The sequence below is a fragment of the Homo sapiens genome, chromosome 6 (genome assembly GCF_000001405.40).
Source record: "Homo sapiens chromosome 6, GRCh38.p14 Primary Assembly".
Classification (NCBI taxonomy): Eukaryota; Metazoa; Chordata; class Mammalia; order Primates; family Hominidae; genus Homo; species Homo sapiens.
The window spans coordinates 154,698,830-154,715,681 of record NC_000006.12 but is presented as its reverse complement, the minus strand read 5'-3'; the positions used below and the strand labels follow the sequence as shown (position 1 = coordinate 154,715,681).

The window sequence follows — 16,852 nt, the reverse complement described above, 5'->3', positions numbered from 1 at the left end:
GTGATACCATCACTGTACTCCAGCTTGGGTGACAGAGGAAAAGAAAAAAAAAATTAGAAAAAAGAAAAAAGGAAGTAAACATAACTGGAAGGAGGGGGATTTTTTTTCAGTTTACCGCAAAAATAACCCATGAACTAATTTTAAAAGACAACTTATTTAATCTATTTCATTGGGATCTAAAAAAGAGCTATAGCAAACATCATGTGTGATATTAATGCTTAAAACATTCCTTTAAAAAGCAGGAATAAGAAAGAATATCCACTATTACCACTTCTATTCTACATTATTGTGGAAACCCAAGCCAATACAGCAAGAAAAAAATTAAAATTCCAAAGCAAAAAAGAAAAAATATTATTTTTGACACAAATGTCTATATAGAAAACTTATAAAATGTCTACAGATAAATTATAGAATTAATAAGAGTTCAAGACAATTACATTTCCATATGACCACATATGGAAGTTATATTTGAAAATGTAATTAATTTTGGAAAATACCATGTGAAATAGCAACTAAAACAGTAGAGGGTGTTATACTTCCTGCCATGACAGAATACCTGGAACTATATTTGCCCTCTGTCTTAATCCGTTTTCTGTTGCTACAACAGACCATAGACTAGGTAATTTATAAAGAAAAGAAGTTTATTTGGCTCATGGTTCTAGATGTTGGGAAGTCCAAGAACATGGCACTGGCATCTGGTGAGGGCCTATTTGCTGTGTCAGAACATGGCAGAGAGCATCATATGGGGAGAGAGCAAGAGTGTGTATATAAGCTCAAGTCTTGCTTCCTCTTTATTTTTATTTTATTTTATATATTTTTGAAATGGAGTCTCACTCTGTCACCCAGGCTGGAGTACAGTGGCGCAATCTCTGCTTACTGCAACCTCCGCCTCCCAGGTTCAAGCGATTCTCCTGTCTCAGCCTCCTGAGTAGCTGGGACTACAGGCATGCGCCACCACACCCAGCTAACATTGTATTTTTAGTAGAGATGGGGTTTCACCATGTTGACTGGGCTGGTCTTGAACTCCTCACCTCAGGTGATCCACCTGCCTTGGCCTCCCAAAGTGCTGGGATTACAGGCATGAGCCACCATGGCTGGCCATTGCTTCCTCTTCTTATAAAGCCATCAGTTGCATCATGGGGCCCTCACCCTGATGACCTTACCTAATCCTCATTACTTTCTGAAGATACCACCTTCAATCAACGTATGGATTTGAGGATTAAGTTTCCAACGCATGAAATTTGGAGGACACATTCAAACCACAGCACCCTCTTGTATAAATAACCAGAAAATGTACACACACTATATGGAACAACTAGATATTGGACAATTGGACATTGAAGAATAGAGCAGGAAAACAAAGATGTTATCACAACAATACTTCTGCTTTCTGCCTAGTAGCTCTTTCTGAATCACATTATAGGAAGGGGGAACCCAAACAAAGCATAGAAGTCTTGCTGAATTAAGGAGACAGATCAGATTTTGGAAAGGTTGAGGTGGCCGGAATTTGCAGAGCAGAGTAGTAGAGAGGAGTTAGTTATGCAGAGAAAGGGCTCTGGAAATCTGCACAGAGGCCACCTTGAGTTTCTGGCTGAATATAAAGCAGCACATGCATAGCATGGAACACCACAAGGTCAGGCAAAGAAAACTAGTTAACGGCTGCTGAAAGCTGAACAGTTCCCAGAGCCAAAAGATGTTTGAGAGTTGTGATTAGCCACAACAGAGAAATCTTGTTGAATACTTGAGGTTACATTTAGCCCTTGAACAACTAGACCTACCCTAACAAAGCAAGTGACTCAACTGCCTGCCAAAACATAATTCAACATTCTTTTAAAAAAAAAATACAGAAATCCAGACACTTATCAAAGTAACTTTCAAAATAACTAGCATTCAATATATAATCACCAAATATAAAAAATTAAGAGTAGGTGAATATCGGAGGTCCCCTCAAACCACTCTTGGGTTTAATTATTAGCCAGAAAGACTCACAGAATTCAGAAAAGCCACCATGCTCACAGTTATTATTTGTTATGGGAAAAATAGATGTCAAATCAGCAAAGGCAAAAGGTACATGGAGGAAAGTCCAGGAATGAGCTTCCAGTTGTCCATTCCCACTGGGGCCATGTGGACAACACTAAATTCTCCCAGCAACAATATATCACAAGAAGCACAAAATATTGCTAGCCATGCAAGCTTACTTGAGTCTTAATATCCAAGGTTTTTTGAGGGAGGTAGGGGTGGTCATGTAGGCATGGAGTGTCCAATAGCTGACCTTAGTTATTCTTGCTCTAGCCCCTCCAAAGGTCAGACTTTAAAAGCCTGGCCTAAGGCACCCACTATAAATTATATTATTAACAATGCTAACAATGCCTGGGTTGCCCCAAAGCCCTAGGTAAAGGGCTTTGCATATTTCAAGGGCTTAGAAGTCATCCTCCAGGATCCCATCAAGGGCCAGAACTTTCTTTGGAATGTGCAAGGTTTTTTTGTTTGTTTGTTTTTGAGTTGGAGTCTTGCTCTGTTGCCCAGGCTGGAGTGCAGTGGTGTAATCTCAGCTCACTGCAACCTGCACCTCCTGGGTTCAAGCAAATCTCCTGCCTCAGCATCCCGAGTAGCTAGGATTACAGGCACCCGCCAACATGCCCAGCTAATTTTTGTACTTTTAGTAGAGATGAGGTTTCACCATGTTAGCCAGGCTGGTCTCGAACTCCTGACCTCAAGTGATCTGCCCACGTCGGCCTCCCGAAGTGCTGGGGTTACAGGCGTGAGACATCATGCCCAGCCAGAATGCGTAAGGTTTGAACACCCAAAACTTAAGTAAGTCAGCCCTTCACTTCACAGTGACACGAAGTGGGAGAAATATAAATCAACAGAAACAAGCCCAAGCCTGGGCAACATAACAAGATCCTGTCTCAAAAAAAAAAAAAGAAAGAAAGAAAGAAAGAAACAAGCCCAGAAATGACAGGCATAATTATAACAGCTATTCTAAATACATACATGGATTTAAAGAAAAACCTGAAAATAATGAAGAGGAATGAATGGAAACTATAAAAAAGAGCAAGAGCTGGGTGCAGTGGCTCATGCTTGTAATCCCAACACTTTGGGAGGCCGAGGTGGGAGGATCACTTGAGCCCAGGAGTTTGAGACCAGCCTGAGCAACACAATGAGACCCCATCTCCACAAAAAGTAAAAATATTTGCTGGGCGTGGTGGCACACACCTGTAGTCCCAGCTACCCAGGAGGCTGAGAAGGGAAGATCACTTGAGCCCAGAAGGTCAAGGCTACAGTGAGCTATGATTGCACTACTGCACTCCAGCCTGGGTGACAGTGAGACTCTTGTCACACACACACACACACACACACACACACACACACAAAAGAATAAAATGAAACTTCTAGAGCTAAGGAATAAAATATCCAAATTACTTCAAAAATTCAATTACTTTGGAAAATTAAGTAAATGGAGGATGAGGGTAGCCAGGTTTCTCACTGGTGGAGCGGGAGTTTACACATAAGCAAGTGAAGGAATACAGTAATATGTATATTTCCTTCCAAGGGTCTATTTCCTTAAGATGACCTAGAAGCAAAGATACCCCAGTATACTCAATAAGCACACCTAATGCCCAGATCTTGGTTTCTAAAACTACCGTCCAGTGAAAGAAACCAGGTTTCCTTGGAGAAATGACCGATTCTAGGACTGGGACACAGAATATATAAGATGAACCTGGAACATCTTGTAGTGCCAGAAAAACAACGAGGTGCTAAACACACATATCAGCACGCAATGAAGGGTACGTCAAAGCAACACAGGCGCCAACTGAAAGTGCTCCCAGTGGCCAAAGCAGAAACAATGTAAGAAATAAAAGTGGTTTTTGTTTTTGTTTTTGTTTTGAGACAGGGTCTCACTCTGTTGCCCAGGCTGGAGTGCAGTGGCACAATCTTGGCTCACTGCAGCCTTGACCTCCTGGGCTCAAGCGATCCTCCCATCTTAGCCTCCTGAGTAGCTGGAACTACAGGCACACATCACCATGCCCAGCTAATTTTTTGATGTTTTGTTGAGACGGGGTTTCACTATGTGGCCTAGGCTGTTCTCAAACTCTTGAGCTCAAGCAATCCTCCCTCCTTGGCCTCCCAAAGTGCTGGGATTACAGGCATGAGCCACTATGCCTGGTAGTTTTGAATTATAATCAAAATAATAATCACATTCATAGAATGAAGAATCAGTATTGTTAAGATGTCAGTTTTTTCCAAAATGACTTAAAGTTTCAATGCAATCTTTAAAAAAAGCAGTTCCTTTCCCCTAGTAATTGATTGGCTGATTCCAAAGTTTATATGAAAATGAAAAGGATTTAGAATATCTAAAACAATTTTAAACAAAATTCAGAGGATTTTACTACCTGATCTAACAGATTATTATAAAGGTAAAGCATCAGGACAATGTGGTATTACAGCATGAACAAACCTATATATCAATGTAGGAGATTGGAAAATCCAGAAACAGATACAGCCAGAAATATATCCCATAAATATAGATATAGCCATACATGTGTAGTTAATTTATTTTCTACAAAGGTAATAAGGTAATTCAATGGGGAAAGGATAGTCTTCAGTAAATGGAAATAGAAAAAACAGCTCTCCATATAAGGAAAAAAATGTGCCTCAATCCTTACAATACACAAAATCAACAGGCACACAAGCAGGTACAGGGAAGGAGGATGGGGCTGGGAACCAAGAGGACCATCTCATGGAGACCACAACCATTGCCACTTCTGACTACAGTAGTCTCCCCTTTATCTGCAGTTTCACTTACCTGCCATCAACTGGAGTCAGAAAATACTAAATGGAAAATTCCAGAAATAATTCACAAGTTTTAAATTGTGCGTTACTGTGTTGTAGTATAATGAAATCTCATGCCCTCCAACTCTGCCCTGCCACACCCACCACAGTGATCATCCGTTTGTCCAGCTATCCACACTGTATAGGCTACCTGCCTTTCAGTCAACTTAAGTAGCTGTCTCGGTTAACAGATTGGCTGTCAAGGTATTGCAGTGCTTGTGTTCAAGGAAACCTTTTGTTTTGTTTTGTTTTGTTTTGTTTATTTTGTTTTTTGAGATGAAGTTTCTCTCTTGTTGCCCAGGCTAGGAGTGCAATGGTGCAATCTTGGCTCACTGCCACCTCTGCCTCCCGGGTTCAAGCAATTCTCCTGCCTCAGCCTCCCGAGTAGCTGGGGTTACAGGCATGCACCACCATGCCTGGCTAGTTTTTTGTATTTTTAGTAGAGATGGGGTTTCTCCATGTTGGTCAGACTGGTCTTGAACTCCTGACCTCAGGTGATCCACCTGCCTCGGCCTCCCAAAGTGTTGGGATTATAGGTGTGAGCCACCGCGTCTGGCCTATAAATTATAATTTATCATAGGTATGTATGTATAGGGAGAAAATGTAGCATATATAGGTGCTATCTGAGGTTTGAGGCATCCACTGGGGGTCTTGGAAAGTATCCCCTGTGAATAACAGGGGACTACTGTTCTTCTCTGGTTTCACCATTCCTTCTCATTCCCCTGTTCATTTCCAGTTCTCTTCATGTGATTTTCTTTGGTTTGATTTTAGACATTGCTATACTATTTCTTTTTGTTGTTGTTGTTCACAGAACTTCAATTCTCTATTAATCACAGCTTGCTCACAAGAACATACAGGAAAATTGCACTAAGAGTAAATACGCAGGTGGCTACCTTCAGGAGTTGGGAGTTGGGTACTTTTAGTGGGTAACTGGTAATTCCCTTAGTTGGCATGATATTCTGCCCAGCCCCTTAACGGCTCAGCCCTCACAGATAATTTTTTTCAACACTTTTCCTGTTTGCTCCGAGAATACTCACTGGCAGTGCTTGTTGCTTCAGCATTTATCCTGAGATAACTTTGCCAGGAAATACCTCATTTTTATTATTTTCACATCATTCTTTGGAAACAAAAGACATCATTCTATTTATAGCATTCTGTTTTTAGTAGTGGTATTTCCATTTACAAAATATAATAATTGGCCATCACTGAAAATGTCAAATCCTAGAAAACATAGCATTCCTAGGAGTGAGGTTCACATCTCTGGAACAGTTGTTGGACAAAGATTCATTTAGTGAATCCGATTTTTCTGAAATAGATGATTCTGATGATTCAGACAATTCTAATGTTAGTTCTGCTTAGAAATAACTCCAAGAACAGTTTTTATATTTTATTTTTACATTGAACATCAGTTAGATTTGCTCCAACCTCAAAGAGCATGTTTATGTAAAATTAAATGAGGACTGGCAGCGAGCTGCACTTTTTTCTCTAAACGGGAAAAGGGTTAAAAGGCAGGACTGCTTCACACTGGGGAAGAAAGACCAGCTTGAGTAAAAGTCTGCAGTGTTTTTTATCTTGTTTGTGTGTGTATTTAATGCAACAACCAGCTCACAGTTTCAAAGTGGGAAAATATTCAGTCGCATCATGTACTTGTACTATTGGTAAGAACTTAAAATGAACATCATCAATCATGGAATCCACAAATAAGCTACCTGACACCATAAGTAATTCATTCCATCAGAAGAATGTAAACAAGAGAATTCAGCCCAGTTGATAAAGAGCAATTTCACAGATGCTTGAAACATTAAGATTTGGATTTGTGTTCAGCACTTTTAAGGTTCACCTCTTTGCTTCTACCCAGACTGATCTTAGATCAGTCTTTTTGTCCATCCCTTTCTAAAGCCAAAGCACACTGGTTGCACATAATCTAGTAGAAGCAGAAGTGCTATGGTTGGTGGTTTTATTATTATTATTATTATTATTATTATTATTATTATTATTATTTTGAGATGGAGTCTTGCTCTATCACCTAGGCTGGAGGGCAGTGGCACAATCTCTGCTCACTGCAAGCTCCGCCTCCCGGGTTCACGCCATTCTCCTGCCTCAGCCTCCCAAGTAGCTGGGACTACAGGCACCCGCCACCATGCCTGGCTAATATTTTTTGTATTTTTAGTAAAGACGGGGTTTCACCGTGTTAGCCAGGATGGTCTCGATCTCCTGACCTCGTGATCACCCGCCTCACCTTCCCAAAGTGCTGGGATTACAGGCGTGAGCCACCATGCCCAGCGTTTATTATTATTATTTTTGAAACAGAGTTTTGCTCTTATCACCCAGGCTTTAATGCAGTGGCGTGATCTCAGCTCACTGCAACCTCTGCCTCCCGAATTCAGGCGATTCTCCTGCCTCAATCTCCCAAGTAGCTGGGACTACAGGTGCGTGCCATCATGCCCAGCTAATTTCTGTATTTTTAGGAGAGACGGGGTTTCACATGTTGGCCAGGATGGCCTCGATCTCTTGACCTCATGATTCGCCTGCCTCAGCCTCCCAAAGTGCTGGGATTACAGGTGTGAGCCACCGCTCCCGGCCTTGTTTTTTTGTTTTTTTTTTTTGTTTGTTTGTTTGTTTGAGATAGTCTTGCTCTGTTGCTGAGGTTGGAGTGCGGTGGCATGATCTCTGCTCACCGATACTCTGCCTTCTGGGTTCAAGTGATTCTTGTGCTTCAGCCTCCTGGGTAGCTAGGATTACAGGTGTGCACCACTATGACTGGCTAATTTTTGTATTTATAGTAGATACGGGTTTTCGCCATGTTGTCCAGGCTGGTCTCGAACTCCTGACCTCAAATGATCCGCCTACCTTGGCCTCGCAAAGTGCTGGGATTACAGGTGTGAGTCACTGCATCCGGCTCCACATTTTTTTTTTTTAATTTTAATTCTGCTTTGTTAATGAGTCCTTTGTAAACTATGTCATACATTTCCCATACCGATACTGCGTGACTCATTATAATATGGGCAGTGGGTTTACTGATGGTGCAGCATGCCGTACCCTCCTCCACTTCAGCCAGACTGTTGAGTCTGCGCGTCCTTGTTCCTGCGCACCTCCGCGGCGTGCCTCCTTTTCCTTCAGACATAGTAGCAGCTAGATTAGCCTCCTCATTTTCCTTAATTTTTTCCACTTTCAGGATCAGCTTTTCCTCCACGATTCTGCTGAAGGTGTCGTTTTCCAAAGCCTTCTCAAAGACTTCTTGCTTGTATTCCCTCCTCTCTGCCAATGGCTTCAGCACCTGGACCTCCTCAGACTTCCTTCTTTCCTCTGCAGCCTCCAGTTTCTTCTGGATCTCCTTCAGGGACAGGTCTTTCTCCTTAGTACAAGCTAAAGTTCAACGGGCTTCCCAGAATGGAGGTGGTGGCCTTAAAATCAGCTTAAAAGCCTGGCCAAAGGCACATTTGTTGATTTGCTTCACTTTCTTTCTTTTTTTTTTTTTTTTTTTAGATGGAGTCTCGCTCTGTCACCCAGGCTGGAGTGCAGTGGCCCGATCTCGGCTCACAGCAACCTCTGCCTCCCGGGTTCAAGAGACGCTCCTGCCTGTGCCTTCTGAGTAGCTGGAATTACAGGTGTGTGCCAACATGCTTGGCTAATTTTTGTATTTTTAGTAGAGATGGGGGTTTCATCATGTTAGCCAGGCTAGTCTTGAACTCCTGACCTCAAGTGATCTGCCCACCTCGGCCTCCCAAAGTGCTGGGATTACAGGCGTGAGCCACTGTGCCCAGCCTGATTTGCTTCACTTTCATTTCAATTAAGTATAGATGTTGATGTTGCAAGATTCCAGGTAAAAACAAGAGCAGGGCCACACCTGGTGGTTCACACCTATAATTCTAGCGCATTGAGAGGCTGAGGTGGGAGGATCACTTCAGGCCAAGAGTTTGCAACCAGCCTGGACCACATAGTGAGACCCTGTCTCTACAAAACATTAAAAAAAATTAGCTAGACATGGTGGCAAACGTCTGTCATCCTAGCTACTCAAGAGGCTGAAGCAGAAGGATTATTTGAGCCCAGGAGTTAGATGCCGCAGTGAGCTATGATCATGCCACTGCATTCCAGCTTGGGCAACAGAGCAAGACTCTGTCTCTTAAAAAAATGTAAATAAAAGCAGATCACTGATAAGATGGACAGCTTCTTTAGTTTGCTTTGTAGGCTAGACCTCATCTTACTCTTAATTCCAGTTAAAGCCCCTGCTGTGTTTAATGAGAATTCCACTATATCATACAGGTCATGTCCTTATTTTCTTTCCCCTATTGCTGTTTTAGCCATTGTAGGAATGTGCAGATGCTGGTGGTGCAGATGGTGGTGAAGGCAACAGATCTGCCTTTAGCAGCCGTTGCTATGTCCACATTCTACTGGACTACATTTCTATACAACTATATCCTGTCTTTATTTGGGTACCTCCTATTCATTTTTCCTTTTGTCTTCCTTTTGGTTAACTGGTAAATACATACAATAAAGAATTTACCAGATATAATAGGTATTTTTTTTTTTTTTTGAGATGGGGTCTCATTTTATCACCCAGGCTGGAGTGCAGTGGTACAATCTCGGCTCACTGCAACCTCTGCCTCCCGGGTTCAAACGATTCTCCTGCCTCAGCCTCCCAAGTAGCTGGGATTACAGGAGCCCACCATCACGCCCGACTAATTTTTGTATTTTTAGTGGAGACGGGGTTTCACTATGTTGGCCAGGCTGGTCTCGAACTCCTGACCTCAGGTGATCCACCCACCTTGGCCTCCCAAAGTGCTAGGATTACAGGCATGAGCCACCGTGCCCAAAAAAATGTTTAAAAGAACACCTATAAAACCCACTTGAAGGGGATCCCTAAGATCCACCCCTTACGTTCAATACAGTCTTCACTAGGAGGACTCGCAGGACTCAGCAACTGAGCACTTGGCTGTATTCACAGCTAAGATTGATAACAGTGAAAGGATACAGAGCCAAATCAGCAAGGGAAAAGGCACACAGGCAAAGTTTGGAGGAATCCAGGCACACACTTCCAAAATTCCTCTCCCAGCGGAGTTACAGGGAATGCACCTAATTCCCTCAATGCCGAGTTTTAAAAACATGTGTGAAATGTTGCCTATCAGGGAAGCTCATTAGAAATTCAGTACCCATGGTTTTTAGACGGGGCTGGTCACATAGCACCCCCTGCCTTCTACATAAAAATTCAAGACTCTCAGAACAGATGTTCGGCATCCACCACAGTGCCTGTACAAATAGTTCAGGCACAGTGAGATACTCTTATTAGGCAATGGTGGAAATCCTCCCAAAATTCAATTTCCCAGACACCAGCCAAGATCCAACCTTGAGAGCAAGGCTTTCTAAGGATAGCAGTCTCAGGTCTTCTGTTAATTTGTTCTGCTACCCACTTAACATTTATGTGCCTCCCAAATCCTATCACCCTCCATCCCAAACACCTCCCTCGTATCTCCCAAGGAACCGCACTATTAAATGCATATCTATTATTTTCTTGCTTTTTTCTACAGGCTTATTACACACATATACATATTTTCACACATGCATACTGTATGTATGCCTATGTTTGGTTTTGCAATGCTTTTAATCACATAACTGAAATAATGTTTAACTTTTTATTATTTTTTATTTTATTAATTTTTAATTAATATAATGCTTACAGATTAAGCCAGTGTGATACCTTTGTATTCAGGTATGTGTGTATACATATTATGTGTATTTATGTATTGAAAATAGGATATAATTTTTTTTTTTTTTTTTTTTGAGACGGAGTCTCGCTCTGTGGCCCAGGCTGGAGTGCAGTGGCGCGATCTCGGCTCACTGCAAGCTCCGCCTCCCGGGTTCACGCCATTCTCCTGCCTCAGCCTCCCGAGTAGTTGGGACTACAGGCGCCCGCCACCACGCCCGGCTAATTTTTTGTATTTTTAGTAGAGACGGGGTTTCACCGTGTTAGCCAGGATGGTCTCTATCTCCTGACCTCGTGATCCGCCTGCCTCGGCCTCCCAAAGTGCTGGGATTACAGGCGTGAGCCGCGGCGCCTGGCCAGGATATAATCTTTAACTCAGAAAAGTATTATCTTAAAATTTACTCAATGATGTATTTTTTATGTAAGTGAAAAGGATCTGAATTCCATCAGTAAAATATTGAAAAATTAAATTCTAAGTCAGAATATAAATATTATGCTTTATCGAATTGAAGATAATATTCTATCTTCAACAAACATGTATAGAGAACCCATTATGTTCTAGGGAGGGATGAACATGAATGTAGGTAAATTTGCCTGTTCACATGTTAAGTCCATAGTTTTTGATTACCATAGATTTACATTAAGTTTTAATATCTGATAGTATTAGTTTCTTCCATTAGTAGTATACTTTTCCAAATTTCTTGGCAATTCTAACTCATCTAATTTTCTATTTGGAATTTAGAAGCATATTGGATAGTTCAAATCCAACAAAATTGTCTTTTGGAATTTTCACTGGAATTGTCGCAAATTTACATATTGCCTTGGAATTGACTCTACTTTTTTTCCAGATGGCTACTGAATTGTCTCTGAATCATTTATTGAAAAGTTTACACTTTTTTCCCCAAAGATTTGAGATACAACTTTCTCACATGCAAAATTCCCATATGTTGTTCTATTCTGATCCACTGATTTGTCTACTAATATTCCCATACAATAATACTATTTTAATGGTTATTATTATTATTATTATTTTTTGAGACAGGGTCTTGCTCTGTTGCCTGGGCTGGAGTGCAGTGGTGTGATCATGGCTCACTGCAGCCTCAAACCCCTGGGCTCAAGAGATCTTTCCACCTCAGTCAGCCTCCCGAGTGGCTGGGACCACAGGTGTCCACCACTATGCCCAGCTAATTTAAAACAATTTTTTGTAGAGACAGGGTCTCACCATGTTGCCCAGTCTGATCTCAAACCCCTGGGCTCAAGCAATCATCCCGCCTTGGCCTCCCAAGTACTGAGATTACAGGTATGAGCCACCACACCCAGCCATGACTGAGGATTTTAAAATATTTTCTTATATGGTATGGTTGGTTCCACCGTATTGCTCTTCTATTTCAGAGATTTCCTGGCTGTTATTTTCTTGATTATTTTTTCATATGAAACTTCAGAATCCACTTGCCTACCACCAGAAATATCTATAGACATAGATGGAGTTATGTCCAGGTAAGCCTATTGTAGCTTGAGGATCGACTGAATGTGGGTCCTCAAGGAGGACACAATGAGGGTGTGGGTCCACAGGTGGACCTTTGCTAGGAGCACAAAGAGTTCATCCACGTAACAGGAGAATAGGGAGAGTGGATGGCAGAGATGCAGGTCGATGGGGAGATATGAAGATAATCTAGTGTAAATGGCCACCTGCTTTCTCAGTGCCACAGGAAGCCGAGCAAGGATCTGGGAGGGAGTGTTCAGAAGAAAAGCCATGCATTGGTTTCAATGAGAATATGAGAAGAATGTGCTAGGGGACCGTGGTATTTAAAGTAGGCAGCATTAAGGGTCTATTCAAGATTAGTGCCTGGGAATTCAAAGTGAGAACAGTCAGCATGCTGTGTGCTTTTCTCTCATCCCATTCAGTCATGTGGGGAGAGGCACAGAGAAGGCAGGGACTTGGATGAACTTGGTATTAAAAGCTGAATCGTGTCTCCTGCAAATTCATACCTAACCCCTGGGACCTCAGACTAGGACTGTATTTTGAAAAAGGGTCTCTAAGGAGGTAATTAAGGTTAAGTGAGGTAATTGGGGTAGATCCCAACCGAACACATTGATGTCGTTTAAGAAAAGGAGATTAGAAGGCCAGGCACAGTGGCTCACGCCTGTAATTCCAGCACTTTGGGAGACTGAGGCAGGTGGATCACCTGAGGTCAGGCGTTCGAGACCACTCTGACCAACATGGTGAAACCCCATCTCTACTAAAAATACAAAAAGTAGCCAGGCATGGTGGTAGACACCTGTAATCTCAACTACTCAGGAGGCTAAGGCAGAAGAATCGCTTGAACCCAGGAGGTAGAGGTTGCAGTGAACCGAGATCGCGCCATTGCATTCCAGCCTGGGTGGCGAGTGAGACTCTCTCAAAAAAAAAAAAAAAAAAAGAAAAGAGAAAAGAGAAGGAGATTAGGACATAGACATACACAGAGGGAAGACCACTAGCAGGTAAGAAAAAAACAAACAAACAAACTAGAAGACAAGGTAGGACAGAAGTGTGTTGATGGCTGAGGTGGAGCTCAAACTGCAATGGTACGATGGGGTAGCAGCGTGGTCAGGAGACCAGCAGAGTTTACAAATCAAAGAGAGTGGGAATGCAAAGTGGCTGAGAATGCAGGACAGTTGTGCTAGTCTGCTCCCAACTTTCCTACCTACCTAACTGCATCACAAAAAAGCACAAATAAAAAAGCCTGATTTTGAAAGAAGTTAAACAGTTTGAAGACATGTTCTCCAAGGTGAGTACTGGGTTTGACTCCTCGCTTCTAACAACAAAGCTCACCAAGCCGATTACTGTTCCTCCCACATGTAAAGACTTCCCATTTAGGAAAGAGGCTCCTCTGGAGGCAAGTGTACTTATGTAATAGAAGGAGAAACCCATCCCAGCTACATGAAATAACCCATCAGGTCTGTCATTTTCAAAATTGAAGGTGCACAGTAGAGAAATTACAGTTAACAATAATTTCTTGTATATTTCAAAATAGCTACAAGAAAATAATTGTAATGTTCCCAACACAAAGATAAATGTTTGAGGTGATGGATATCCTAATTACCCTGACTTGATCATTACACATTGTATACATGTATCAAAATATCACATGTACCCCCTACATATGTACAACTATGATACTCACATTTTTAAAAATGAAGATACTATCAAGGACCAGCAGATGTATAAGAAAAAAAGAAGGAACATGAGAGAGCTAGACCAAGATGCAAACACACAAAAATAATCCCAGAGGGGGAAAAGAAGAATTCAAGAAACAGAAGAGAGCTTAAAATAAAACTAATTACTCTAAAAAAATACAGTACATGAAGAAATAAAATTTTCTGAAAAAGAAACAGTACCAGAATGGGCTACTAGAAACTAAAAATACGAATGCCACAACAAAATTTCAATAGAACTGGAAAGTGAAGTTGAAAAAAATCCAACAGTACCTCTTAGACTTTAATGTGTATAAGAATCCTGGGGGTCTTGATCTCGTTAAACCGAGGAATCTAATCCAGTAGAGGTTTGAGGTGAGGGCTAAAGTTCTACGTTTCTAACAAGAAGCTACCAGGTGATGTCAATGCTGACAGTCCACAGACACTTTGTGTAGAAAGGCCATGGAGACAGGAGAAATAAAAGAATCCAGAAGTATAAAACATAAAATGGGAGAGAAAGACAATCCAGGAAAACCAACATGTGCAACTAACTGGATTCTCAAGAAGAGAAAACAAAAAACTTGGAGACAATATTGCCAAAGAAACAATAGGAAAAAATGTCCTAGAATTGGAAAGGGATTCAAGTCTTCAGATTCAAAGGGTTCATTGAGTGCTGAGCAAGATGAATGTAAAAAAGACCCATTCCTAGACACATTCACGTGCAGCTTCAGAGCGTAAAAACAAATGGAAGATCTTAAAAGTTTCCAAGAGTAAACATTAGGACAACTACAAGGTAACTTGGTAGAGGCTAGCATAAAACCTCTCTTAGAGGCAAGGAAGGCAATGCCTTCCAAATTTTGAGTGTAAAAAATTGGAGCTTGAACTGTTAGATCCAGTTGTTCTCGGCCGTTCAAGTAAGGGCACGACAAAGACATATCCATGATGTGGCAGACACTGGAGATTGGCTAACCCAAAATCAATCCCAGCATCCTTTTCCCTTGCTTGTCTCTGAAATAGGGGCTGGTAAATTAAAATATTTACAAGCTTTTTGCAGCTGCTAGTGGCAGTTAGATACACTTCTGGTCAGTGAGATGAAGGCAAAAGCCAGCCGAAGGTGTTTCTAGGAAGTTTTTGTTCAAGTTCCATGAATGCTTCCTAAGAATATACGGTTTGGGGACCGGGCGCGGTGGCTCACGCCTGTAATCCTCAGGCTTGAGTCTGGGAGGCTGAGAGGAGTGGGTCACGAGGTCAGGCATTCTAGGCCAGCCTGGCCAATATAGTGAAACCCCGTCTCTACTACAAATACAAAAAATTAGCCGGGCGTGGTGGCCGGCGCCTGTAATCCCAGCTACTAGGGAGGCTGAAGCAGGAGAATTACCTGAACGTGAACCTGGGAGGAGGCGGTTGCAGTGAGCCGAGATTGCGCCACTGCACTCCAGCCTGGGCAAAAGTGTGAGATTCCGTCTCAAAAAAAAAGAAAAGAAAAGAAAAAAAGAAGAATATGTAGTTTGTTGGTTATGTAGCTATATATTTGAGTTTATTAATCATGTTACTTAAAGCATCCATATCTTTGCTTATTTTTAGTAGGTTTTATCAATACATTTCTGAGAGGGTCTATAACTATCTCCAGCTAGACTTGTCAGTTAATCTCTCCTTGCAATTTTACTAGTTATTGCTTTGTATTGCTTAAGTCATTAGGTTGCATCTTGATTATATTGTTACTCCTAGTGCTCTGCTTTCCTTTAGAATTCAAGGTGAAAAATATTATATTTTTTCCTATTAAAATTACTCTCAGCCAGGCACGGTGGCTCACACTGGTAATCCCAACACTTTGGGAGGCTGAGGCGGGTTCATCACCTGAGGTCAGGAGTTTGAGACCAGCCTGGCCAACATGGTGAAACCCTGTCTCTACTAAAAATACAAAAATTAGCCGGGCATGGTGGTGGGTGCCTATAATCCCAGCTATGCGGGAGGCTGAGGCAAGAGATTTGCTTGAATCTCTTCAAGCAAAGGAGGTAGAGGTTGCAGTGAGCTGAGATCATGACAATGCACTCCAGCGTGGGTGACAGGAGGAGACTCCGTCTCAAAAAAAAAAAAAAAAATTACTCTCCTGGCTTTGTTTCTTTATTGTCCAATGTGTATCTACTTCCATATCCTTATTTTCAAACTTTCTGCACACGTCTTTTTTGTGGGCAGTTTACTTTTTTATCCAATTTTAGGAATGTTTTAATTTGAGGCTTTAAACTCATTTACATTTAATTCAATACAATAACACTTTAGGACTTTATACCATTTTATAGGTAGTATTTATTTCCCTTTTCTGCTTTTATTAAATAGATCCAGAATTTTTTGCCAGATTGAGGGCTATTTATGTAATTTTATTTTTTAGGTAGTTGCCACTAAATTAGTAAGACCAATACTTATATTATTTTCTCTATTAATTTCTTAACCTTATCAACATATAGCATACTGTCATCTTGCACTGACTCAATTCCTCCTGCCTCACCCCACCCTGCCCTTACTATTTTAAGAATTTATGTTTTGGATTATTATGGATACACTTTTGATTTCTTTCTATTTTTTTATTTATTTTTTTTTTTTGAGAGGGAATCTCACTCTGTCGCCCAGGCTGGAGCACAGTGGTGTGATCTCAGCTCACTGCAACCTCTGCCTCCTGGGTTCAAGCAATTCTCCTGCCTCAACCTCCCAAGTAGCTGGAACTACAGGCACGTGCCACCACTCCTGGCTAATTTTTGTATTTTTAGTAGAGAAGGCCAGGCTGGTCTCGAACTCCTGACCTCAGGTGATCTGCCCGCCTCGGCCTCCCAAAGTGCTGGGATTCTTTCTCTTTTAGAGTATGGAATATATTACTAAGTTAATTGTTCACCTGTACTTCCATATATGTTCTGGCATTGTCCTGTATTTATTTTTCTCCTTGCTGAAACACTTCCTCCAAGAGTGTGTTGAAAGAGGTGTTTTTTTTTTTGTAACAAAGTTCCTGAGACTTTCTATACCTGAGTGTATCTTTATTGTACATCTACACATCCATGACAGTTTAGCAAAATACAAAATTACAGGTTTAAAGTTTGTTTGTTTGTAATACTTTGACAATATTTGCCTACTGTGTTTTCTGTATCCAGTGTT

At 41.4% G+C, this 16,852-nt stretch overlaps 1 pseudogene, besides 2 other annotated features; it reads right to left on the bottom strand.

Annotated features, from left to right (window-relative positions):
- Nucleotides 3,207-3,423: a silencer, noted in NCBI's record as "fragment chr6:155033393-155033609 (GRCh37/hg19 assembly coordinates)". NCBI's record gives its function as "represses an EF-1alpha promoter that drives an FKBP-Casp9 reporter gene in an ReSE screen in K562 erythroleukemia cells {active_cell/tissue: K562}" and the evidence as "EXISTENCE:reporter gene assay evidence [ECO:0000049][PMID:32094911]".
- On the bottom strand, nucleotides 5,637-9,203 carry LOC646274 (stathmin 2 pseudogene; annotated as a pseudogene).
- Nucleotides 7,282-8,481: an enhancer, noted in NCBI's record as "MED14-independent group 3 enhancer chr6:155028335-155029534 (GRCh37/hg19 assembly coordinates)". NCBI's record gives its function as "activates an origin of replication core promoter dependent on BRD2, BRD4, P300/CBP and CDK7 cofactors, and independent of MED14, by STARR-seq in HCT116 cells {active_cell/tissue: HCT116}" and the evidence as "EXISTENCE:reporter gene assay evidence [ECO:0000049][PMID:35650434]".